Source organism: Homo sapiens, chromosome 5 (assembly GCF_000001405.40).
Source record: "Homo sapiens chromosome 5, GRCh38.p14 Primary Assembly".
NCBI classification, from domain to species: domain Eukaryota; kingdom Metazoa; phylum Chordata; class Mammalia; order Primates; family Hominidae; genus Homo; species Homo sapiens.
In genome coordinates, this window is record NC_000005.10 from 72114334 (window position 1) to 72139562 (window position 25229).

The 25229-nt window shown below is 39.4% G+C and overlaps 1 protein-coding gene across 1 annotated transcript in view, besides 1 other annotated feature; it reads left to right on the forward strand.

The window, feature by feature from the left end:
* Positions 1-25229, forward strand: part of MAP1B (microtubule associated protein 1B) — a 102091-nt gene that overhangs the window by 6859 nt on the left and 70003 nt on the right. The window contains exon 2 of the mRNA NM_005909.5: positions 1365-1466. Coding sequence (NP_005900.2) covers positions 1365-1466 — 102 coding nt within the window. The remainder of the gene's footprint in view (positions 1-1364; positions 1467-25229) is intronic.
* Positions 7945-8448: an enhancer, noted in NCBI's record as "H3K27ac-H3K4me1 hESC enhancer chr5:71418105-71418608 (GRCh37/hg19 assembly coordinates)". NCBI's record gives its function as "activates a minimal SCP1, AML or CMV promoter by ChIP-STARR-seq in naive H9 embryonic stem cells {active_cell/tissue: H9 hESC(naive)}" and the evidence as "EXISTENCE:reporter gene assay evidence [ECO:0000049][PMID:30033119]".

Consider the following 25229-nt stretch of genomic DNA (forward strand, 5'->3'; position numbering starts at 1 on the left):
AGTAACACACTGCTATTTATTCCTTCAAGTCTGTATACATGACTAATGTCCAACAAAAATGATTACATGACTGGGTGTTAATTTAGAGATAGTTCACCTGCTGTGTTATACCTAGAGGTTCAAGCCCTTACCTTTAGGAGGTATGCAATAAATGTCTGTTGTTCTAGAGATTTGTTCCTGGCAATTGAGAATGCTGTATACAAAGGTACAATGATGGATACCACACACTGGCTCCACCATGAGCAACCTATTAGGAAAAATGTAATATATAATATGTAAACATGTAAAACACACACACACACCAGAGTTCTGGGGTTCCCCAACTTTCCCTGGCTTACTCTCCAGACCTCCCTTCTATGATGCTCTCTGGGGTTCCCTCTGGGCCATCCCCTTTGGGAGGGCAGGAGAAAGAGGACAGTGGGAGGAGGAAGGAAGAGGCTAGAGAGTAGGGCATGAGCACAGGAAGCTGCCCTCATCCCGCCTCTTGCCCTCCTGTTCCTCTCACCCTGGATATTCCTTTCAGCCTAGGGAAAGGAAGTCTGATAGGACTTCCTTTCCGTTCAGCCTAGGGTAGGAATAGCTGATTCATGTCCCCAACTCCATAAATGTTTTATAAAGTATAAAAAGTTGCCATTTTTCTTTGCCTCTGGATAAGAAAATTGAATACAATGAACAATTGTGAATAAAAGAGCTGCCTGCCAAGCTACTCAGGTAACAGAAAAGTGCCTGGAAGGACAGACAGGCCAAGTCTTGAAGATTGAGTGGATCCACTCTGTTTATCAAAGATCACATAAATCTTGGATTGATATCCAGGGCTCGATAAACCAAAGTCAAAAACGGGATTGGTAAAGGAAAGAAATTACACATGTATACTACCAGAACATCATTTTAGAAACAAAGGCCCGTGCTTGAATGGCAGCCCCCGTGTATTTTCTTTGCCTTTATTCTACATTTTCTTGCCACCTACAAGTGGAGTTAGTCTGTCTACAAGCTAGAGTTAGTCTGTTGGCCTCTTAGCTTCTTAAGAACTAACATCTTCCTGCCCTTTCTAGTCCCTCCCTGGAGTACAGCCTGTCATTTTCCTAACAACTGTTTTCTTTGACTCTTCCAGAAGAGGTGCATTTACTTTTTATGAGGGGCAGAAGCTCAGTCCACACTGCTAATTATCCCTCCCTTGTGGCCTGGTGGAGAGACCTCCCTGGCCCTCCCATTTTGTGGGCATCCACTGCTAAGCCACCAAGCTCTTCAGAAAAGGAGTTCCCACATCCTCCCTGAAAGCCTGAGAAATATTACAGTGATGTTGTCCAAACCACTCTGAAATGACTAACTGGAAGTCTCTCAACTGTCTTTCTTTCCCTCCCTAGGAATCCGATCATGGGACACAAACCTGATTGAATGCAACTTGGACCAAGAACTCAAACTTTTTGTATCTCGACACTCTGCAAGATTCTCTCCTGAAGTCCCAGGTGAGGCTTCCGCTCAGTGTTGGTCAGCCTAGAATTCCAAAGGACAAGGAGCAAGCTAGAAAGCTTTGTCTGAGGCAGCAAAAAGACTCTCTTATTGCTAAAAGGATACTTTGTATTTGTTATTATCAACTAGGTTAGCCAGCAGCCACAGTTTAGGAAGTCACTCTAGGTTATCACTGTGTGGGTTATCTATTTTGTGGATTCTTAATGAGTTTTTAAGTTCTAGGGTTGTGTATGTGTATATATATACACACACACACATCAATGATCACACAAATTTTGAATTGATATCCAGGGCTTGAGAAAGAGAGAGAGAGAAAGAGAGAGAGATAGTATAGTGTGTGTATGTGTATCTCACTGTACTCTGAGCTCAAGGGACTACAAACTATTTAAATGTTAATCTTACTCAAATGAAATTCTGAATACAAATTGGATGCTCCTAGGATCCCAGAACTGTCTTCCTGCAAAAGAAAAAGGAAACATATACTGCATTTCAAAATGAAATATACATCATCATTTCATAATTGCATTATCACCCGCCATTGCATTACCACTTATCTTTCTTCGTGTGGGTAAAAGAATCTGATATTACAAACTTCTGTTAAAATAGCCTTTTTTTCAGAGATGAAAAAGAATATCAAAGAATAATTAAAGGTAAGGATGCAAAAATTTGTCATATGTGAAGATGTTCCCACTAACCAGCCACCTTCCTGGGGCTATGATCTGACCCATGCCTCTGGCGCTGGAGATGTATTCATACTGACCCATCTCGTCTTCTTCTTGTGAGCAATAACCTATATTCCTCCCATTTGGTCACATTTAGGAATTATGAGACAGTTTCTGGCCCATAAAGACTCCAAACCTGGAATATATTTCTCCAGACCTTTGCCATTGACCCATCAGAAACACTGTATTACATCTTATTTCTTGACCATCACTTGAATTTTACATAAGAGAAAGCTATTTTCTGCCCATATGCTTTTGTTATATGATTCCTAATTTTATTGGCATTGATATAACATCAGGAATGAGATTCAGCCTATTTTGACTGGTTAGGTCATATTCCATTAGTCGTGTATATACATTGATATTTGAAATCACTTTTATAGAATATCAGTGCCTTCGTGAATCACATTTGGCTGCAGTAATATGCCCATAGGACTGTCTCAGTTCTTCCTTTTGAGTTTAATATTAGAATAAAATCCCATACATTTCAGTTATTGAAATGCATTGTAGCTTTCAAGTATGGAATTGAGTAAATGTGCTAAGAAAAGCTTAGCAAGAAATGGTTTATTAAAAGTTAACTTCCTGCAAAGCCACATGAAAAATCAGTTTTTAAGTAACTTTGCTTTGAGAAAAAAGGAATCCAGAGACTGTCAGACAGCATATGATTTGCTGAAGGAAAGGTACAGTATAAGGTTGTTTCTCTTGTTGTTATTTTATTGTATTTTTGTCTTGCGATATCTCCGTATCTTTTAAAACCATCTCACAAAAAAAATGAGGGAAGTGCTGTTTTCCAAAAAGTATGATTATTTCAAAATGTAAAAACTACAAGCTTTTATTTTTTCTCTGTAGGTTGTTCTGGCTTTTTTACTATGATTGTTTGTAAGACTTCTTTTTTTGTGTGTACAAGTCATGTGGTTCTCATTGTGTTCATTCATATTTGGACTGACTTTATAGAGTGACAACTGCATATTGCATAATGAAAGGCTGCAAGCATTGCTGAAGAATTAACCATTTCTAGACCCAAGACCTAGTATTGCTCCTGTGGAGTAGGAAGATCAAGTTCCCCCAAACTGTCACTTTAGCCTAATGTACCCCATTCTCCTCTCCTTTCTCCTGCTATCACCTTCAGTAAGGATTAGTTACCTACCTAGTTGTATAGTGTTATGCTAGAGGCTGTGTTTGGAGATTGGCCTTTGGACACACAGCATCTTTACTATTCTTGCCAATGCTAGAAAGGACTGATATTACGACTTTCCCTGTCAAGCCTATGAGTACGCTTTACAGGCCAAGGCTCCCCTCTGGGAATTAAGCATCTAGAATAGAGCCATTATAGTCATGCTCCTGTGTGGGGAGCATGAAGGTTTCCAACCAGGACTGTAAGGTGATAAAAGCACATGTCAGATTCAGTTTCAGATAAGTGTGTTTTAAAGAGAAGAGATGTTAGAGGATAAGAAGACATGGAGATCACAGGATGATCACTGGATTGGGCCCAGGGAAGCCTTTAGCTTTTCCTGAACAAACTGGAAAGGTTTTATGGAAAAATTTGAAGTCTGTTTTTAAGTGGGTCCAAGTCTAGTGGTCTCTAGCTAACTCATGTACTTCAGTTCCCCTGAAATGGAATTAGCTGAACATTTTCCTTTAGAGTTTCAAGAATCTTTCATTGTTTTTTGAGACAGGGTCTCACTATGTTGCCCAGGCTGCTCTCAAACTCCTGGGCTCAAATGACCCTCCCACCTCAGCCTTCCAAGTAGCTGGGATTACAGGTACATGCCACCACACCTGCCTAATTTCAAGAATCTTAAATTAACTTAGAACCAAGGAGCAAGATGAAGGATGGATCCCCTAAAAAAAAATAGAGCCATTTTTCAGCCAGGTAAAACATTGTTAAAAATAGCACCTACAATATACCAGGCATTATAGGGTGCTTGGTGAGTGAGGACACTGTGAAGAACAAAACAAATACAGTCATTACCTTTATTACACTTATATTCTTGTGAGAGGAGAAGGCATTTAACAATCATATACAGACCAACATAAAATCTAGCCCCCTGCATCAAATCCAGGCTTCAAACAGATTTTTGGGAGGTTTGGGTTTAAAAAAACATAGAGACGGGGTCTCACTATGTTGCCCAGGCTGGTCTTAAACTCCTGGGCTCTAGCAATCCACCTGCCTTGGCCTCCCAAAGTGCTAGGATTATAGGCATGAGCCACCATGCCCAGCCACAGTTTTGTTTTGTTTTAAGGCCAGCAGAGTTATAGTAAAATATTTATTGCCTTTTATGACATAAGTAAATTAAGGCTCAAGTCACCCATATATCTGTCTTATGTTCCTGTTGGTTATGATAGCTTTTGTTGTTTTTTAATAATTGGAGTTCACTTGTAAAGACTGAAGATAGCCTCAAATTGCAGCTAACAGATTGTGCAAATGGCACAAGATTGATTCCTTTATACTAGTTTATCCCTTATACTAGTTTTTAAATATGGTTTTGAGATTTGATTTGACTATTTCTTCAGGATTGTAGGTCTCATTCAAGACCACTCTGAAAGACTTAGTCATCTTGAATAATATCCTTTGAGCAGGAATCTGAAATATGAGTGCTTTCTGTACACAAGGTGGGTGGTGGGTGCCTCAGTTCCCCAGAATGTTAGTTCTGTGATCTTTAAGCTCTGTCCAACTCTGGCATACTGTAATTCTTGGAGTGGTCAGTCATCTGGGCTTATCTTACTATTATTTTGCCTTACTATTGCAGCCTTGCCTTGCCTAAAGATCACTCAACAAACCTTTGCTGTGTGCCCAGGGCAGGTCTCTGCTGATTTGCCTTGATGTAAAGCCATTCCTGGCCACATCTAAGCTGGATCAAGTGAGAACAGTCATCTTGAAAGAAAAGGTTAGGTGTTCCTTTATGAACACTCTCTAATCTTTTACTCAAAGGAAAGTTCAGTAGTTGAGTCTTTTCAAAATAGAGCAACAGTCTTTTGTTGTTGTTGTTGTTGTTTTGAAACAGTCTTAGCTATGTCATCGCCCAGGCTGGAGTGCAGTGGTGCAATCTTGGCTCACTGCAACCTCAACCTCCTGGGCTCAAATGATCCCCCCACCTCAGCCTCCTGAGTAGCTGGGACCATAGGTGTGCACCATCACACCTAGGTAATTTTTTGTATGTTTTGTAGAGATTGGATTTCCCCATGTTGCCCAGGCTGATCTCGAACTCCTGAGCTCAAGCAATCTGTCTGCCTTGGCCTCAAAGTTCTGGGATTATAGGTGTGAGCCACTGTGCCCGGCCAGAACAACAGTCTTATATTTCTTTAAAGTTATGATTTTAAATACTATCATAAAATTTTTATTTACCTATTATATCATATGTTTTTTGTACCCTAATCATGTTGGATGAGAATCATTTTGGTTAAGTCTGACCACAAAAGCAAAGCTAGGCTTACCATGCTGTACAGGGTTTATTTCATTTTCCGTTGCCATTTGCTTCTTTCCCAAATGTAACTTTAGGACTGTCTATGTATAGTAGTAAAGAAGGATATCTCCCAGGGGTTGTAAGAAGTGCCCCATAATTATCTGTCGTAGACAGACATCATTTTGAAACAAGCAAACAAATAAAAACTATTCTCAGGACAAGTGATGTCAGACTGAAAATCAGTTTCAATTTTTATTTTTTCCCTTAATTTTGCCACTTTTATCTGCCTATTAAAATAATTTAAAAATTTTGATCATCTGACTCCTCATCAGCAGCCTAGCATAATGATGAAGAGTACAGATTCTGGAGTCAAACTGCCTTGTTTGATCTTAACCCCACGGTTTATTTGCTGTGTCATCTTGGACAAGTTAACTAACCGTTTTCAGTCTTCTTGTTTGTAAACAAGGATGATCAGTTCCACCTCATAGTTTCTTTCTTTTTTTTTTTTTTTTTGAGATAGAGTCTTGCTCTGTTGCCCAGGCTGGAGTGCAGTGGCGCAATCTCGGCTCACAGCAAGCTCCGCCTCCCGGGTTCACACCATTCTCCTGCTTCAGTCTCCCGAGTAGCTGGGACTACAGGCGCCCACCACCATGCCTGGCTATTTTTTTTTGTATTTTTAGTAGAGACGGGGTTTCACTGCATTAGCCAGGATGGTCTCGATCTCCTGACCTCATCATCCGCCCACTTCAGCCTCCCAAAGCACTGGGATTACAGGCGTGAGCCACTGCGCCCGGCCCCACCTCATAGTTTCAATGCAGATCAAATGAATTAAAGTGTGTAAAGCTCTTAAGACAGGGCTTGTCACATGGAAACAAATGTGAACGAGTGCTGTCTCCCTTCTGGAGTATCTATTTGACTTGTATATTTGGTGATTGTTATTATCCGTGGGAAATACCGGGTATTGATATTTGGCTAGTTTCCTTTTTGTAGTAATTTTAAATTTGTATTAAAGATGTTTCTCAGAGAAACGACTGCTTTCAGCATTCTCAGAAGGCGCAGAGCTGCTGACTATGTGTAAAGGGTGACAACATTCTATGGCTGAGCTTCTAAGGTCCTTTGGGCTTGAGAGCAAAAAGCCGGCAATGCTTTAAAGTGCTGGCTGGTAAAGCAGAGCCTGAGAGGGGGTTGGAGACCATTTGCAAAATGGTCCTGTGGGTGCCCACGCAAGGGCTGTCAGGGAACGTGTGCACAGTTTGAGGGCTGGCCTGCCTCCTTGCTATGATAACCCATCCATGGTCACTCCCTCCACGCCGTTCTACACTCGCTTTTCTCTTCTGCTCTCACCAATCAACAGGTGACTATAGACGTTGCCAGGTTTAAGAAACAGATTTCTTGTGGTTTATTTTCTTAGCTGAATACACAGTAAGACCTTGATATATTTACATTTTGTCACTAGTTTTATAACATCTAGATCACATTCACAAAAATCATCATAAAATGTGATGGATGGTGTATATGGGCAGTTTTGTTTTAAGAACCGATGCCTTTTTCCTAGAAGATAAACGAACCACAGCTGAGCATCTTTAGATTTGTGCTGAGTGATTGCTAAAAACATCTTGCCTGGAGATTGGTTTTCGATGGAGAATTAGAATCAGCCCTTTGAATTTCAGTCATGCGAATCTTCTCCCTTTGACATTAATGAGGCACGGGTTACAACTAATATTTACCAGTTGAGTGATAAGAAAATGAGAAAATACTCTTAGAAAAGGTCTAAGAATATTTTAAGCCATCTTTCTCTGTCTAGACTTGTGTGTTTAGTCTGTTGTGTGTAGAATTATAGCTTAATTGTATGTGCCTAGAATACATCAACTGCTCTATGACAGGGAGTAATGAATGTGTTTTCAGCCCTGCTCCAACCTTTAAACAATAAGGCACACAAATATATGTTCTAGCGGCATTCAAGGGGCTGACTCACCCTCAGGGAACCTGCAATTTCAGAGGGACAGCCGATTCTTTATCCTCATGTTTTCTGTGTTGTTTGTGTACACGCACAGGTCTAGGTACTTGTCCCCATGCCTGTGAGGCTCTGCTCATCTTTCCTCATTGCATCATCATACAAGGTTATAGGAGAAATCGTGGTATGTTAGAAGAAAATGACAAATAGAGAGCATTATATTCGTTAAGGTAACCAGATCTCTGTTTAATATTCCTTGAGGTCATTGCTGCCTGCCTGGGAAGGAGAGTCCCATTTTAATGCAAATCCCTAGCCTTTCTCCCACTTGCCCCGTGCCCTGAGCCCTCCTGGCCCGGTTGCAGGGAACAGAGTGATCGGCAGCTCCTCATGCTGTCCGCTCTCACCCCAGTGCTCCCATTGAGACTTTGCCGCCCAAGCAGCAGACAGCCCAGTCACCCCCACCTGCATCCTTTTCTAGCGGTGAAAGAGCCAGACCTTCCAAGGAGAAGATTAGAATTTTATAGTGTACGCAGCATAAGGCATAATTCCTGCAAGCTTTACATCTTGGTCAACTTTCAAATTTCAGGATTCTTTATATCCAGATCCTCACATACAAGGGAATTTTTTCCCTTGGTGCAGGTGTGGCCAGCAGAAAGGAATAAAATGGCATTTCACTGCCATGTTCAGGCTTCCTCATTCCTCAGGGTAGTTAATAATGGGCTCTTTCAGACCACCCTAGAAATACCTATTCATCTCACTTTTTTTTTTTTTTTTTAAGAGTGGAAAGGATGTTTTACTCTGCTGACTGTAATGGCTCTCACGCAGTTCCTAATGGGCACTGTGGAACCACTCAGCATAGACAGGCATAGGCAGGAAGGTAGCAGAAAATGGGCTGCCTGGGCCCAGGAGCCATTTTAGGAGATGTCAATAACCCCTCCATTAAACCCAACTAAGTGCGTTCCACGACAGCTGCTAACCAAGGACAGCACCTCATGCTGAGTGTCACTGCTTTTGTCTTCATCTCCAGAGACCAAAGAGAGCTCATGATTTTTGTTAGTAGAGTTTTTTTTTAAAGGTTTTTTTTAAGTATGCAGCAACAGCAAACCATCAAGCAAGCACAGTCTCTTTGCTTTTTCTGCCTGCTTTTTGGTCTTCCTCTGGGGCAGTTTGTTCAGCACCTATGGTAGCCTACTAGAAATAATGGTGGAAGATGAAGAATAAAGCATAAACTAATAGATCACTTTAAAAGTGCCAAGTAATGTTTTTGAGTGCTTATTAATAAGAAAGCAACTGTAAGGGAATATTTGGAAGAATGAAGTATTTCCCACTGTTTATAATTTTGTTGGGAAAATAAGTCATTCACAGCTTTAAAATTCACTGTGTTTCTCAACAAAGAAAGAGAGTTTCTTTTTATTTTTTTAATCTCTTTTTGTTTTTGAGACAGGTTCTCCCCTCTGTCACCCAGGCTGGAGTGCAGTGGTGCAATTACAGCTCACTGCAGTCTCTGCCTCCTGGGATGAAGCTACCCTCTCGTCTCAGCCTCTGAAATAGCTGGGACTACCAGCCTGCCACTATGCCCAGCTAATTTGTTTTTTTTGTTTTTTTTTTAGTTTTTTTTGAAGATGGAGTCTCACTCTGTCGCCCAGGCTGGAGTGCAGTGGTGCGATCTCGGCTCACTGCAAGCTATGCCTCCCAGGTTCACGCCATTCTCCTGCCTCAGGCTCCCGAGTAGCTGGGACTACAGGCGCCCGCCACGACGCCCGGCTAATTTTTTGTATTTTTAGTAGAGACAGGGTTTCACTGTGTTAGCCAGGATGGTCTCGATCTCCTGACCTCGTGATCTGCCCGCCTCGGCCTCCCAAAGTGCTGGGATTACAGGCGTGAGCCACCGCACCCGGCCTATGCCCAGCTAGTTTTTAAATTATTTTGTAGAGAAGGAGTCTCACTCTGTTGCCCAGTCTGGTCTTGAACTCCTGGCCTCAAGCGATCCTCCTGCCCCCACTTCCCAAAGTGTTGAGATTACAGGTGTGAGTCACCCTGCCCAGCGTGAGAGTTCTCTTAATTTGCGAACTGTGTATATGTGTCAGAGAGAGAGAAAGAGAGAGTGTGTGTGTCTAATTCCTAAAGAAGAAAGGGGTGAAAATGGAGAGTATAATAAGCATTGCATTTTGATTGTTCAACCATGGGTTTAGTCACAATGACAAAGGTTACCCAGGTACCAGCACCCCACTCCCAGCTGCAACCCAGGACTAATTAAATGCTACCTAGGCAACGATCAAGTATCCCCAGACATCATACTCCAGGGCTTACCCCTTTTGTTTTCTCGGCTGTGATCTAAGGGTAATTTCTATTGCATGTGAAGTCAGATTTCCTTGGTCTGAGAGAAACGTGAGAAAGTAAGAGGTACTCTGGGGAAGCGCACTTAGTGCACCACAGGGACTGGAGAAATTAACATAAATACAAGACAATAATAATGTTATTTTAATAAACTCTTCTAGGTTAAAGGATTGCCTATAGTCAGGACTGGTGAAATTGATGCTTATAGAAAATGCAACAAGAGCGTCTACATGTGATTTAAAAATAAAAGTAAGTAATTAGGAATGAAAATTGAAAAGCTAGGGTAGTGTTTTATTGAATGTGGCTCCTCTCTGCAGTTGTACCGCACCTCATTTGAAACACTCAAGCTGAGGTTGCCTCTCAAAATTGCTGCCTTGCATTCCTGAGGGGTTAAGACGAAATATGAACATCCTGAGGACTGTCTTTGTTGTCATAGAGGGAAGTCCTCTAAACACGCACTTTGCCATTAATCTGGCCATTTCTTTCTCAATAAAACAGGTTTTCAATGGGAGCTGTGAGTAAACACGCCACTGTTGAGCATTGTGGCTCAAATTCAGATTTCTTGTTGGCTTCTCACGTGGATAGTGCGAGGAAGGAACAGCTATTCCCCTGAGGGAGCAACACGTTTTTAGTGCACCTGGCCCCAGGAACACTGCTCTACATAGATGTGGCTTTTTGGATCCTGAAGTGTATCCATCAATGGGAATGTCACATTTGGAGAAGTTATCCTTATTGCAATAAAATTAAAGATCAAATAAGTTCTGGAACCCAGGCGAACAATGCTTCCTTAGTGCAGAGCCATTTTGAGCAGTTGTCTCTTGTGCCTTTTAAAAACCTCTCACTTGGAAGTTTTGATGTGTGAAAGATGTGAAAACTGCCTAAGAGAATTCTTCCTCTTTTTAATGGAGCTCGATGCCTGTTTAGGGATGATGTAGCAACCGCTTTTTTATCTAGAATTCCAGATAGTTTCCCAGCTCAAATACTAGGAGTTTTTGGTGGTGCAATTCAATTGAAAGTGGTATTTGGTGTGAAGTTCCAGCAGCCCCACAAGATGCTCAAGTGCCTTGTAGTTAGTTTAGTATAATGTGCATATGTGTTTGTGTGTGTGTGTTTGCATACATGAGAGAAAGAGAGAGAGAGAAAACCTTATCTGTTCTCATCTATTATAAAGGAGACAATCCTTTCATTTTATATGGTATCTCCTTTTGAAGGTGTCCTGTTAGTGTCCTATTATCAGCCAATCTGTCATTAAATATTTATGTTCCTGCAGCAAGGCACAGTTCAGTTCCTAGCTCTGCAGGCCATAAGAAGACTTGTAAGTAAATCCTGTCTTCAGTTGTTTACAATTGAGTATGGAAATAAGATAACTAATGAAACAAGCCAGTCTATAATAAGTGCCAAATGAGAATTTTGCAAGGAGGTCCTTCTGTAAATTCTATTTGTTCAGGCTATTTTAAAAAAATCTGTGTGCATAAAAAAAGCATTAAAATAATATTATCCATGCAAATTGGGGCATAAATGCAACAGATCCTAATGCACTGAATCATCTTTGTGACCAGGGAATTTTGAATCCAGCCTGAATTAAAATATTTCCTAGTTTGGAGCTACATTTTAGATTAAGCCCATTAATTCAATGATGAAGAGTTAGAATCGATAATTTAAGAATTCACCCTTCTGAAATCATGTGAGAACAAAACTCCTGACCTGGATGTATAAGCTTAATTTCAAGATTGTCTTTATCTTTGAGTGCTGGAAAATTGTCCATTGGCAGACTCTGAAGACACTAGGGAAGAGATTGTGAAAGTGAAATGTTTTAAGGAAATAAATGTGAAGTAATTGTTTCACTGCCCTGAGGCTAGAATGGGTACTTTGGAGAGTGTCTGATTCAGCTGTCCCTGTGTTGAGGGAAGCAGGGAGGGGACACCAATTGCAAGCTGCTTTCCAGGACCCTTCCCCCTCCGGAGAGACCAGGAAGCCTGACCTAGTGCAGCAGCTCTGGGCCACACCTGAGAGCATTGTTGCCCATGGTGCTCCCTGAAGAGCTGCTGTCAGTCCTTTCCTTTTCTGTAAAATAAAGGGATTAGGCTAGATCAGGTCATCTTAACTTTGTTCTGCCAGCCATTAGTTCTGCAAAACATTAATAGTCAGTGGAAAAGAATTTCATGGTGACTTAAGTTTGAAAACTGTGACATACTCCATCTAATTTTTTGAGGAGGCATAAATTGTATGTGTATAAACTTGTTCAATTTTGTCTAACCATACATTTCCTTAGCCTATTTGACTAGTCACTTCTATCACCACTCTCTCCCATGGATCTAGATTCCTGTAAAACACAATCTGGGAAAGGATGGATTAAATGATTGCTGAGTCCCTTCCAGTTTTTTTATTCCATTATTCTATGAATTTTTACTAAATTGTCTCATCACTCGTATGTAGATGGGAGCTTGTCTTACTTCATTCAGCTTACAATGGCTTTTAATCCAGGCTTTAAAATATCAATGAAAGAATTTCATTTAGAAAAAACTGCCTGTCCCATCCATGAGTATTCTTAATTTTAGGAAAGATGCACAGCTTTATGACACTCAGGCTGATTTCCCAGTTTGGGAATTCTTGGCCCTGGCTTTTCCCACCTGTCTTTACCTTGCAGACAAACCAAACAAGACAAAATTTAATCATGTTTGCACAATGTCAAACACTTGCATAGAGACTATCCCCAAAGTCAGCTCATGGGTGTTTTATCTTCACAGTGCCAAATAGGAAATAGCTACATATGTTTCCCATTAAAATGAGAATTTCCATGTTGGTATCTGGTGTTGCATTGAGCTTCAGGTTAGCTGCTTATTCACTGATCTTTGGAAGGAGGCTGAAGATTGAACCTCAAGAGTTCTAGGGATTATCTGCAGGTTGAAGGTGTTAAAAGTCCCAGGCACATTGTTTGTTATCGCTAACTGCGGATGGCCTGAATTTTAATAAGCATGGTCAACTGTGCATATCTTGTCATGTGAACTACCAATTAGCACACCATAATTTAGCAAGTTAGTACATGCAGATATGAACACCCTTGGGAAGGAAGCAATTTTCGAATCAGATTATTACTGACAGTGTACAATTTACATGCAGGTAATCATTATCAGAAAGTCATGATTATCCAGAAGGAAAAGTGATTTTTGTGGTAATATATCTTTGAATGGCTGTTGATTTTTAATACCTTTAAGGTAAAAACTTCAATTTGTTCCATCCCTAATTTGATCATATTTGCAAAAAAGTGTTAATTCACTCATTAAAACCTAGGCGTCTGATGGGTACAGCAAACCACCATGGCACGTGTATACCTATGTAACAAACCTCCACATTTTGCACATGTATCCCAGAACTTAAAGTATAATTTTAAAAAAGTTAAAAAAAAACCTAGGTGTGATATTATGTGTTTACAACAAAGCTTACCAAGTATTCTAAAATAACAGAAAGAAATAATTTATGTACAATAACAACATTAATGATAATATATCCATGGATAATACGTTTTGGTTAATCAAATATTCTAGCTAATTGAGAGTTGCCAATAATCCCTCGTGGGATTATTATTTTTCAAAGTTGTAGAATCCAATAATACAGTCATTTCTTTTACACAAACACCTAAAATTTATCTAGAATTAACTTAGAATTTCCTAAACCAAATTTATACATTAGCCCAAGATATACTTAAATTATTTATAGAAGACATGAACTTACAAATCTGTTGTTTCTTCTCCCACCCAAATAGAATAATATCTTCAAAGACAGTCTTTTTTTAAAAAAGGACATATTGTTCCCCTTAGGTAGATACTGGCATTTTATTGAAATATAGTTCAAGAGACATGCATTCAGGCAAGATGAGTGCACACCGTGCTACCTACTTGGAACCCAAACTCAGAACAGTAGAATTGAATCTTCCTTGGAAGACTCAGGAGGAAGATCATCTCTCTGTGCCTCAGGGTCCTCATGATGAACCTATTGGTAATTATACTGTAAACATGAGGGTGTGCGGATTAGTAGCGATTTCTTATCACTGAATCATTAGTGAGCAAACTATTTATTTTGAGGTGGTGTCCTCAATACTAATATGATTGTGCTTCAATATAGAACAAGGAATATCCCTGGATGTTATAGTCCTTCTGAAAAAGAGTCATTGATTGCAGATATTGTTTTAAAAAAAAAAAAAAACACTCAAAACTGCTACAGAGAAAAAAGAAAGTGTGAAAAAAGAGACCATGGCTATCTTCTAGGTTATTCGAAGAAAATACCTGAGTTTGCAAGTATGCACTAGCTCACTGCATTTGCACTGTCCTGATGTGCATACAGTGGGGTGCACCCGCCTCTAAGTCCCAACCATTTTTTTCTTTCTACTTCCTGTATCCCCTTGCCTATGAAAACATAATTTTTATTTTATTTTATTTTTTGAGAAAGGGTCTCACTCTGCGCCCAGGCTGGAGTGCAGTGGCACCGTCATGGTTCACTGCAGCCTTGAATTTCTGGGCTCCAGTAATCTTCCCACCTCAGCTTCCTAAGTAGCTAGGGCTGTAGGCACATGCCAAGGCAAACAACTAATTTTATATTTTCATTTTTAAATTTTTGTAGAGACAGGGCCTTGCTAAGTTGCCCAGGCTGGTCTCAATCTCCTGGCCTCAAGCAGTCCTCCTGCCTTGGCCTCCCAAAGTGCTGGGATTACAGTGTGAGCCACTGCATTTGGCTGAAAACGTAATTTTTTAAATAGACAATTGCCTTCTCTGTTGCACCATCTCCCTCCAAATAAGCTAATAAACACAAGAATCCAACCAAAAGGTAAGAGAGATGAGAAGTGAGATTTTTTTTAAAGGCTTAATCACTTGTGCTTTAAGATTTATCTGGAATATCTTTAGATCCTAGGAAGAGACAAGGTTGTCTAGCTAATTGTGTAGCCATTTACATGTACATATGTAATTGTATGTGTGTGTGTATGTGTATGGCTTTGTTTTTATATTGTATCAAAATGTATTTCGCTTTTCAAGAAGCATTAGAAGATCCAAGTAAATAGGGCCGGGTGTGGTGGCTCACGCCTGTAATCCCAGCACTTTGGGAGGCCAAGGTGGGCAGATCACTTGAGATCAGGAGTTCAAGACCAGCCTGGCCAACATGGCGAAACCCTGTCTCTACTAAAAATAGAAAAAATTAGCCAGGCGTGGTGGCAGGCACCTGTAGTCCCAGCTACTCGGGAGGCTGAGGCAGGAAAATCTCTTGAACCTGGGAGGCAGAGGTTGCAGTGAGCCGAGATTGTGCCACTGCACTCTAGCCTAGCTGACAGAGTGAGACTCCGTCCTAAAAAAAAAAAAAAGTAAATATCTGTTGATGAAAAAACTGACACTTCCTATGGGTTTACCTCCTTTCCTTCCGTTGTTTTCTCTTTGGTATCCCTCACGCGTTTTCCCCTCTCCGCTGCAGTCACCTATTTCCCACTTGTTTTTCTTCTCTCCTTCTTCTTTTTCTTATTGTGTCCTCCCTGCCACCAGTCACAGGCTTGTGGTCTACAAATAATGCTGGTTTGGGTTTATTTTAAAACATCTAACATGAGATCAGTGCCTGCTTTTTAAAGAAGCATTACATTATGTATTAGTTATACAAATTATTAGACAATGTCTTATCTTTATTTTATTGTTTTACACATAGAACAGAGACTATTTGGAGCCTTTGGAATAACATTCCAGCGTATAAATATAAATGAAATAGTTTGGCAAATTAACTCTCTCCAGGGGTCATCTAGAAATATGATTCTGTCATCAGATAGAAATTCTATTGCTAGAGTCCTTTAGCCAGCAAATGGATTTTCTATGCTTGGTGAGCAAATTCATCACAAATTTGAAGCTAGTTACAAATAAAATAAAATAAAATAAATTAATTAAAAAGAAATTTTAAAAATCCCAACTTACAGTTTAAAAAGAAGAAAAGTGGAAAAAAAAAAAATGAACAAACAAAAAGACGAAAGGGCTTAAATTAAATAATCATAGGGATACATTGTTTAATCTTTCCGAATTCTAACTTTTCAGAAATGGCTTTTTCCCAATGTCAACTGAATCATAAGAAAAAAGGAATGCAATTATCTTTTAACCATCGAAATAGGGAGGCCTTAGGCTAATTAATGGCCCTTGATAAAGAGCCTTAGAATAGTGCCAGGCATGTGGGCTTAGTATGTGTATGACAATGAATGATGAGGTGTCATAGGCTTGAGAAACTAAAGTTAGCGCTTAGGTTTGAAAAATAAACTGCATAAGAAATCTCACATCTTTTATTAATTATCTATATTGCAAACAATTTCTTTGTTGCAGATTTCCTTTAAACATTAAGATGTGGTAAAGTGTTTATTTACAAAAACTATCAATTACTTTTCAGAGACTTGGCAGTCTAGAAGCTCTGGTAAAGAGCCAGTGTCTTGAACTCCATGGACAGAGCACTTAAGGAATGGAACCGGGGGCAGAAAATCTGAGCTTTAATCCCAGTTCTACTGCTAAGTAGATTTGTGCCATTGTGGACAAGTTGCCTAGCATTTATGAACTTCAGTTTTATTATCTCTAAGGTCCTATTTATGTTAATATTCTCTCATACAAGTGAAAAAAGTCATTCAAATAATGTTTTTTCAAAAAATAGTTTACATATAAAGTTGGCAAACATAGCTGATGTATAAACCAAGATGTGTGGTTTTTCCAGAAAGTTTTTTGAGATTCTTAGGACACAATTACTTGCTTGGCTGAATATACTCATTTCACAAATATATTGTTTGTCTAATGGGATCTGGTAATGTGTCAGTACTAAGGTTAATAAAAATAAGCAAATGAAGACACAGTCCCTATACGGTCTCCCATGGAGCTCTCAGTCAAGGTGAGGAGACAGACATTGATGAAATAGTCACACAAATTTGTATTACAAGCTGTGCTAAGTAGGAGGGAAAATAATATGGTGCTATCTAAATATGTAAAAGGAGAAACTGATGTGGTAAGGGGTAAGTAAACTTTAGAGCTGAGATTTATGAAGAGTGCTTTTTATTTTACATTTAAGACATTGGACACTGTATTTTTCCCTTTTTAAAAATTAATTTTATTATTATTATTTTCCCTTATGTTTCCTTTTTAATACAGCATTAGCAATTCAGCCTAGTTTTATAGGTATAGAGTACGCAGATTTATCCTGGACTTCATATGGATCAATGTGAGGTTATAATAGCACATTTCTGAGGAAATAGGAACAATCCAATAGAAGTGATTCTAAAATATTTTCATAAGATATTCTTATAAGGATTCCACTACTCTGCTCTGAGTTAAGAATAAAGTAAAAGAAAACTATCTGAATATTTATTGGCCTCTTAAAAACATGGGATTGATGACAAGTTTTCTGGGCTGCAAAAATTCTAATGATAAATAGAGAAAGGAAAGCAACCAACATTTCTGAGATCAGAATGGAAAGGTTTGTGTTGTAACATAATTAGGGCTCCAGAGTGCCTATAGAATCATAGTTTATGTCCATGGTACTTAGAGGTTCATTCAATACCTTCCTCCCAGTGTCTTCTCTGTACTTGCTTATGAGTTCCTCACCTGGTCATTGTTAGGCCAGTCATCTCTCAGAGTGTTTGCTTTCTTCAGGCCAACAGTACGCAGCCTTCTTGCATCACGTCTGATTATCTTTCATACACCATTTACTTTTTGGTTGAAATGTCCACTTCTTTTCTACCATGTTGATTGATATCTCTTGGTCCTATGTGATGAAGTATCTAAAATTTCAACTTTTGCATATAAAGATACTTCTATTACTTGGAGGATATTACTGAAGCAAATAACCTGTATATTATTTAGAACCAATGGCCCTTGTTGGAAAAAATAAAGCCTGCCTTCACCATTAAATCTAATGAAGAACAGATTTTCTTGTTCTATGTAGTATTTTACTTGAAGGTGTTCATAATTCAGTTGCGAAGTAATTTTCTCAGTAGCGTGTGCACAAATCTCAGCTGATCTGAATCTATCTGAAATTAAAATACGGTGTAAGGAAATGTTGAGATACAAGTATTTTTCATTAATTTTTTTCTGAAATGCTCTGAACCCTTTCAGCCTGGAGACTTTTTTCCGCTAGCAAAGTTCTTTCCCATGTGCTCTTATCATTGTTTCTCTTCCTGTTCTGATTTCAGCCTTAAGAATATGTATAATTCTTAAAATGGAACTTCTTAGATCTCATCCTCCAACTCATCATTTCCTCTTCGATCTTCTTCTGTGTATTCTAGGAGAACATTTCACATTTGTCCTGTACATCACTGGGTCAATATTCTGCAGGATTTGTTCTGCTCTTGAGTGCCTTAAATGCAGATTTAAATTCTGCTATTGCATTTTGTATTTCCTTGAATTCTTTTGTTCATTCCACTGGGGACTTCTTTCTAAATCTCTGCCTGTCATTCAGCCCACCCTGTTTTTATTGTTCTCTGTCGTTTCATAGTGGCAACGTCTGCATCTTTTATAGGAGCCAAGTGTCATTTTCTAAAATTTTATTTTGTTCCTATGGAAAGTCATTTTTAGAGATATATTTTTTCCACCAAATCTCAAGACAGTGCTCATTTTTCCTTGTGCTGCAGAGTCTTTTCAAAGGTCCCATTTAGAGCTCTGTTTGTTTCCTCCTTCCTGTATAAGAAGGAGGTTCAGGAATCCCTGAAACTCCCTGTCCAGGTTCAGCATTTGCCAGCAGAGGGTTGTAGGGACTCCTTAGCAAGGCTGCCCACTTGGGAGCTGGCAATTTTACCCGCTCATCTAGAACCTGGAAGTCAGGTTCAGGTGTATAACCTCCACCCTGGGTCCATGGTCCCTGAGCAGCCATGCATCTGGCGTGGGATGCTAGCCTGGGAAGAAATAGTCTGTCTTTACTGTCCAAGTTTCTGCCTGTAATCCTAGAGAATTAGATAGAACTTGCATTTCTTCTTTGTACAAATATTACAGACCATGACCAGCATGCACTCCTCTCCAGGATCCTCCTGCCTCTGCCTGTACTTACAGGTGTTTTTCCTGAGACAACTGTCCAGCTCAGGCTGTAACGCAGAACAGCTCTCTCCTCTACCCCCAGCTCTGTTGGGATCTGAGGTGAGGCGCTGGAGGCGGGATGGAGAGCAGTGGAAAAGGAGGTATCTGATACCCTGCAGTAAGCTTCTTTTTCCTGTCTTGCATCCTAGGATTAGGGGCAGGTATTTGAAGAGTGTGTCAAAAACTTTCCAACCTTCTTTGAGTCCAGCAGAATGGTAAAGCGTGGGGGCCCAGGAGCTACAGTGGCCAAGTTCAAATATGGGCTTCACCTCATGCACAAGGTCTCTGTGCCTCAGTTTCCTTATCTATGAACCTACTTTACAGAGGATTTATGAAAATTCAGTAGCTATAAGGCATGTAAAGTGTAGAAATACATTTTTAAGAGATGTTTAAATAACAATGCTTTTACAAAATACAAAGACAGTCTTAATAATGATTAATGCTTTTAACTTGCCATTCAAGGAAATGAATAAGAAATGTTGGTAAAGCAGGAAAAGCTGATTCATCTTGACTCAGTGTTCAAACCAACTGTACCATTATAAAGTCTACAGTATTATTCAGCCATAATTGGTTCAGGATTATGGTTTCTTTGTAGCATTATCAGTTCTCTATACTTGAAGTTCCCAAGAGCCAAACATTTCCATTTTTCTTTAATCAGAATCTGTCACATTTCAAAACTCCCTTTCTTCTTTATGGATATTGTGGAAAATCCCTTCCTGCAACCTCCAGCTTCCGCCAAAAGTGTCACATGCATTCTTATTGTCACTATGTGAACACCTTATGAATGAGGGCTTTCTTTTTTAACTTTAGTTTTCACATGTTTGTGAGTGAGAGTTTTGTGTGTGTACATGTTGTCTTTTGTGACACCACAGTTTGATTTGATTGAAAAAGAAAAATGCAATTTTATTTAAATTGCTACTTGGGGATATAAACTTTGTATCAGAACATCAAGCCTGAATCCATGGTCAGTGAAGTCCTTTGATTTCTGCTCCTTTTAGTATTGTCGCAGCAAGACTCCCTCACTGCATTAGTGGGTTCCATTGTATTTCCAAGGAGGGCCCAGTGAGAAGGGCTTGCCTGCACCTCACGGCCACCTCCCTTCTTCTGCAGGGTAAGCCTTGTAATTATAGCAGACATTACATTTGTCTCCAGCTTCTAGGGGATGATGTCATTGCATGTCAAACAGGGGATTAGCATGAGGAGAGAAGTCCTATTGACATTTTCATTTTCATTAAGAAGAATTTGGTTTTGCTTCATTTTGTTAACGGAAGCTGTTGTCTTACCACATAGGAGAATTTTTTTTTTTTAAAGAAAACTTGAAAACGTAGAAGCAGGCATGTGCTGACTGCATGAATAAAAATATACTCTGTAGTGGCACTCTATCAATTAGTGAAAGCGTCTGGGACACAAAGCATGCCTGGGAAATCTCCTCCTTTTCTTACAAAAGCAGAATATCATTCTTCTCAAAGCTCACAATGGCCTGGGCCCTGCTGCAGAAAATGTTCCTGAAAAAGGAAGGCAGAGACTTGGCCACTGCTGAGTAGAAAAGGAAGGCAGGCGGCTGGTCCCATCAGACCTCTGAAATATTTTGCTTTTTCGTGATGGCATTGATCTAGTATGTCTTAAAGTCTCATTCCTTATGTCTCAGGGTAAGGCTCTTAGTTCCCTTCCCATATGAAAAAATTAATCAGGAGCGAGGTGGAATCCTGATGTTTCAGATGCTTTGAGCCCAGAGCTGAGTTGGTGGAAGAGTATAATTTTTATCAGTCATTTCCAGCCCCTCCCGCAATAGGAAGAAAATCATTGTCAGACTTGGGGTAGGGAGTTGTGGCCTCCTTTCAAGCAATCTAACAATAACCCTGAGTCAGAAAATCTAGGTTCAAATACCAGCTCTGGCTTTTACTGGGCTATGTAACTGTAGGCAGCTTATGGGATTGCTCCGAGCCTTAACTTTCTCATCTGTCCAATGGCATTAATTGGCAATAGTACTTGCATCTCAAAGGGTTATGCCTGGTACCTATCAACCATTGTTTTTCACCTCTAAAAATTATTTCCTTTCAAAACATGGGCCAGTGTTCTGAGGTGACCTTATTACTTGAGTGAGTAAAGGTGGTGGTTTTCTTTTTTTCTCTCTCTCTCTCATTTGTGTCAGTGTTTTGCAAGTACAGGTCAGGTAGCCAACTCTTACCAGTCTTGATTTCCTCCTTGTGGAGTAGACCCAGTAGCTATGAGATTGAGGGTCACCTGGATTAGACTGGCTTTGGAATTTCAGGTTTTTTGAATTTTCCCAAAGCACTGGAAGAAAAAGAGTCCTTGTGAATTTTTCTTGGGAGTTTTTAGAAACCCTTACAATAGTTCTCAGTTCTCCATATTTGGATCCCAGAATGTTCCTAGCATCTAGTTTCCCTGGAACAGAGTCATCCTGTGAAAAAGGATGAATCCAATCCAGATCAGACCCTCTTGTGAGGTGATAATTTTCCATCCAGATTTCCCTGGGACCTTTCCATTTGCATTCTTGTTTTGCCTTGAAAGGCAGCTGGTGAGCTATTTCTTTTTCCTCATTGGACTTTTCATGTCCAATTACCTAGATGATTATTGCTCCTGTAGGACTGATATTTTAGAAAGAATTTGGAATAACACTGGGTTTTGAGGTGTAGCCCAACAGGATTTGACCAGGAGTCTCCATTTACAGTTCTTCAAGGCCAGTGCATTTGGTGAGCTGGTTGGAAGGAAACTTTGGAGTGTTCTAGAAAGAACTAGACCATCTGAATCACCTGTCCTGATGCCCTTGTGTGGAATAAAGGAGAAGGCACTGCCTTGTGCTGAGTACTTAAGTGTGCTGAGCACCTAGGTACTAAGTAAAGTGCTAGTTACTGTACTAAACATACCCATGGGCATGTGCTATCCCCTGAGTTTCTCCTGAACCTATGGAATATTGCCCTCATTTCCTCTATTCCCACCCCCAGCACTCCTTGAACTATCTGACATACAGGACAGCTCTCTTACCACAAGCTACCTGAATGTAAATATAATTCAAAGGAAGGACATTACAAACAGGAAATCAGCAATTGACTATGGAAGCTGAAATTGCTGTCTGGAGATGGCCAGATACTCTTTTCCTGGGTGGCTCAAGGAGTAGTCGGGTCATCTTCCCAGGGCCTCAATTGTGTCCTCTCCAAGCTGTCAGTATGGCCCTGTCATCCAAGACTTGTCCTCATCTCTGGGTTCAGTTCTCTGGGATAATTTAAAACCTACCTCCTTCTCCCCAAGACCTCATAATCTAGATGGAAGGAAAAGGGGGACATTCTCAGTTGTTTTTCATAATCATTTTACTACTACCCTCTGTCAGATCCTGCCCCAAGTCACACCTAGCCTAATGTTTTGTACCTTGACTCAATTGTTGGCCAGCCACTCCCTTTCCCTCCAATTAGGGTGTGTCCTTGAGTTGTTTTGTATCCTCTTCTGATTATAAACTATAAACATATACATTTTGACTACTGACCCCAAGCCAAACTACAAGGAAAATATTGTCCAGAGGGTGCTAATATGGGTGCTTAAATAATATGTGAATTATTATTATTTTTTGCCAAGCCCATACCAAGATTTATTTTGTTATTAAAAATGTGTGAACTTGGTTTTGAGTATTTTACATTTGGTCATTTTGAGTTGCAGGGAGATTCTGATTTCTGCATCTTCTTCCACCCTATGGGCCAAGTGCCCTTCACTGCTACTGAAGGCTTGTTTATGGCACATGAAATTGGCTAGGTTATTAGCATGATTTGCATTTTTGTTTATGTCAGAACTGTAGGCTGAGTAATAATTCACAGTACAAAAAAGTCAGTTCAGTTTATTCATAAGGATGGCTTATGACAAAGCAGCAATTCCATTTTTATCTTCCTAGGCATGTCAGACCATTTGCTGATAGATCCTGTAGACTGGTGTTGACCTCCACATATATGAGTGAATTCAATGACCTATTGGCCCTATTGCTATAGTCAATCATCTTGACAGCCTAAATTTCTGTAGAACCTTGAGTGTATTATTTTCTTAGACTAGTCTACAAGGGATGATAGGCAATAAATATGTTCCATGACTATTGTTTTATGTAAGCCACAAATTAAATCATATTTTCTAGTTGAATTACATAAAAAGCTTATGATCTTTAACTGCTGAGATCCATCTTCATTCAGAATTAAATGGCAGGAGCTTCCCTTAATTTACCTGGCCAAATCAAGCAAATATTGATTTTAAATGATCTGTATAGGTCTGAAGCTCTGGTTTGAAGATGTCTGTTTGAAAATACCTTTTGTGAAAATAAATAATAAAGTTACTCCTCCCTGTTTATCTGATTGTTAAATTTTGTCAATAATTATGATTCCTTAAAACAAAGTACAGGCTCCTATGCCCAGAATTGACAACAGAAATGGCTTTGAGATGATTCAGAACTATACTTTCTCTTATTAACATCTAATATGTATCAAAGCCTTTTCTCCCCGTTTAAGTAGAGAAGTAACCTTAAAAATATTTAAATGTGATCAAAGGATCTTGGTCATAGGATTCATGTGTAAGAAATGTCATAAATAGCCTCAATCAATTACTCATTTTTCATTTCCAAAGTTTTAAAATAGTTGACATGGAAAAAGTATTAATATGCATCGTATCTTGGAAACATGAAGAATTATCAACTATTCTGTTTCTTTACCAGCAGGTGGCATGACTTGTTGCTCTGCTGGTGACAATATAAAACCTAACCCACCCTATCACTTTAAATTGTTACATAATTAAAAGAGATTCCTAAAGTACTTGCCCCAAATATAAAAGTTGAAAGTTTAATATCCTTATGATATAAAGAGTTCTTACAAATAAATAAGTAAAACTTTAACATTTCAGTAGAAAAATAGGTGTAGGATATGAACATTCAATTTACATACACACAGAAGGTGGGTGGAGAAAGACACACATATACACATACCAAATGGCCAATAAACGTATGAAAAATGTTCAACCTCTTTATAAATTAAGGAATACAAATGAACCCAGGAAGATACACATTTTTACCTCCAAGTTGCAAGGTTTTAACAAATGATACCACTGATCACTGGCAAAGAGGACAAGATAGGCACCTTCATATTCTGCTATTTGGATATAAACAACCTTCTGAAATGAAATTTTTCAATATATATGAAGAGTCATAGAAATGCTCACGTACTTCACCCAGTAATTCCCTACCAGGAATTTATTCTATGGAAATAAGCAGAGATATGCACAAAAAATGTTATGTAAAAAAATGCTTATTGCTACGTTATTTCTCTATGTGAAAAACTGGAAAAAAACCTGAAGTTCTCAACAATAGGGCATGTATAATCAGTAATGATTAATCAATAGAATTCAGTATTTGGCCTGCATTATTATAAACCATATCTTCGAAGAATCTTTACTGATGTGTAATGTTGAGTGACAAGGGAAGGGTTCATGAAGGTATTTTTCAATTTGATCACAATTTGATACCAAAATAATTTTTGTCTTTTCCTTGACACCCAATTTCAATGACACCCAAATTGTAATATGGGTTATCACTGAGCAGTAGGTGAACAGGTTATTTTAATTTTCTTCCTTATCTTTTTCTGTGTTTTTTACATTTTATGCAGTGGGCACATAGTATTTTACAGTCAGGAAAAAGTATACACATTTTCAAAAATGGTAAGCCAAGCATTGGAGACATGAATCACTATCGCTTTTGTATTCCTCATGGAAATGAGATTCAATAGTAAGTTACGTGTCTGGGGAAAATAGAGCTCATTTGAGTCAGAGGTTGGAAAGCTCTTATGAATACTAACCTCAGAAACCTCAAAATAGTATGTGGTAGAATAATGACATGGCACGAAAAGCCACGGATGTCAGTCTGAGTTAAGGTTAGAGTAGATACATACAACAGTCATAAGAGAAAAAAACTTACTAATCTATGATCTCCAGTTCTGGTAACCTCTAGGGTCGGTCTGTGCCTCCATATCAAACCTTTATCACAGTGCAGTGTACTGGGGCTGCTGCAACTTGGAAGCCTGGGTTCTCGTTCTGGCTGCTCTGCAAATATATTTTGTACTTAACCTTGGGCAAGTCACCAACTCTCTGAACTGAGAGTTTTCTTCCAGGGCTGGATCGTTATTCATTTTTGGAGTTTGGCATTCTGATGCACTTTCTAGCCCTGCAAGGTAAGATGTAAGTCTCCGGGGTGTCTGGCCAATGCTGAAGCAGATTGAGGCTCCTTTTGGGCCAACCCTTG